Genomic DNA, 974 nt, shown 5'->3' on the forward strand with positions numbered 1-974 from the left:
TGACAACATCAAAATTCAAAAAGATTTCAACAGATTTGAACAAAAGGGAACACCACTAATACGACACTAAATCAAGACAAACCAGAGTCTTGCAGTTAGGTTGAAAAACAGGCCTGGTGAAGGCAGGAAGGGATGAGAGGTGGGTTAATAGCAATCATGATGAAGTGGAAGCTGATGGCATGATGCGGTGGCCAGAGAGGTAAAGCAATCTTGGGCTGCATTGCTATGGCCAGGGTTGTTATTACCACATGAATTCAGAGCTACAGCATTTACAGAGGGTTTCACATGTACCACCTATTAATTGAAGAATGTTGTTAGATCAAGGGAAGTGATTACTCCAATGAACCCTGAGTCAGAGGATCCCTGGAATTTTGTCTTCTGCCAGTCACCAAATGTAAAAGGAATATAAGTAACCAAACAGCCAGTGTGATATGGGCAAAGGAACAAAAACTCAGCTCAGCATTGACACGCACTAGCTATGTGACCTTAAGGAAATGACTTAATCTCTCCAAGCTGAGCCTCAGTTTTCTCAATAGAACAGCAGTTCCTGCCCTGTAGAACTGTCTTGAGGATTAGATGAAATCCCATATACCATGTGCCTACCACAGAGTCTGCAAGCAGAAAAGACAATCAATTGCCATTAGGCCCGCAGCCCCCTCAGTTATCCACTTATGGGTATCTGCTCTGTAGTTCTGCTGGAACCTGGTTTCATTTCAAGTCAGTTTCCTTCTCACCCCTTAGTCATTACACACTGGGTCCTTCCCCCATCCTCACCCCAGTCGGAGCTGAGTGGGGACAGACCCAGACAAAGCCACTGTACTTGCCCCCTTCCCCGAGACATGCCACTGGACCATCACAGCACATGTTCCCCAGATCTGAGGCTCAGCATGTCCAAAATGCTGACGGAGCACCTGCTACACACCAGGACTAGGTACGTAGTATGAGTGTACTAACTGGGTTCCTGCTTTCACAGA

General features: G+C 46.1%; 1 annotated feature.

Annotated features, from left to right (window-relative positions):
* Positions 895-974: an enhancer, noted in NCBI's record as "active region_1740". NCBI's record gives its function as "activates an Ori minimal core promoter by ATAC-STARR-seq in GM12878 lymphoblastoid cells {active_cell/tissue: GM12878}" and the evidence as "EXISTENCE:reporter gene assay evidence [ECO:0000049][PMID:35858748]".

This window comes from Homo sapiens, chromosome 1 (genome assembly GCF_000001405.40).
Source record: "Homo sapiens chromosome 1, GRCh38.p14 Primary Assembly".
NCBI lineage: Eukaryota > Metazoa > Chordata > Mammalia > Primates > Hominidae > Homo > Homo sapiens.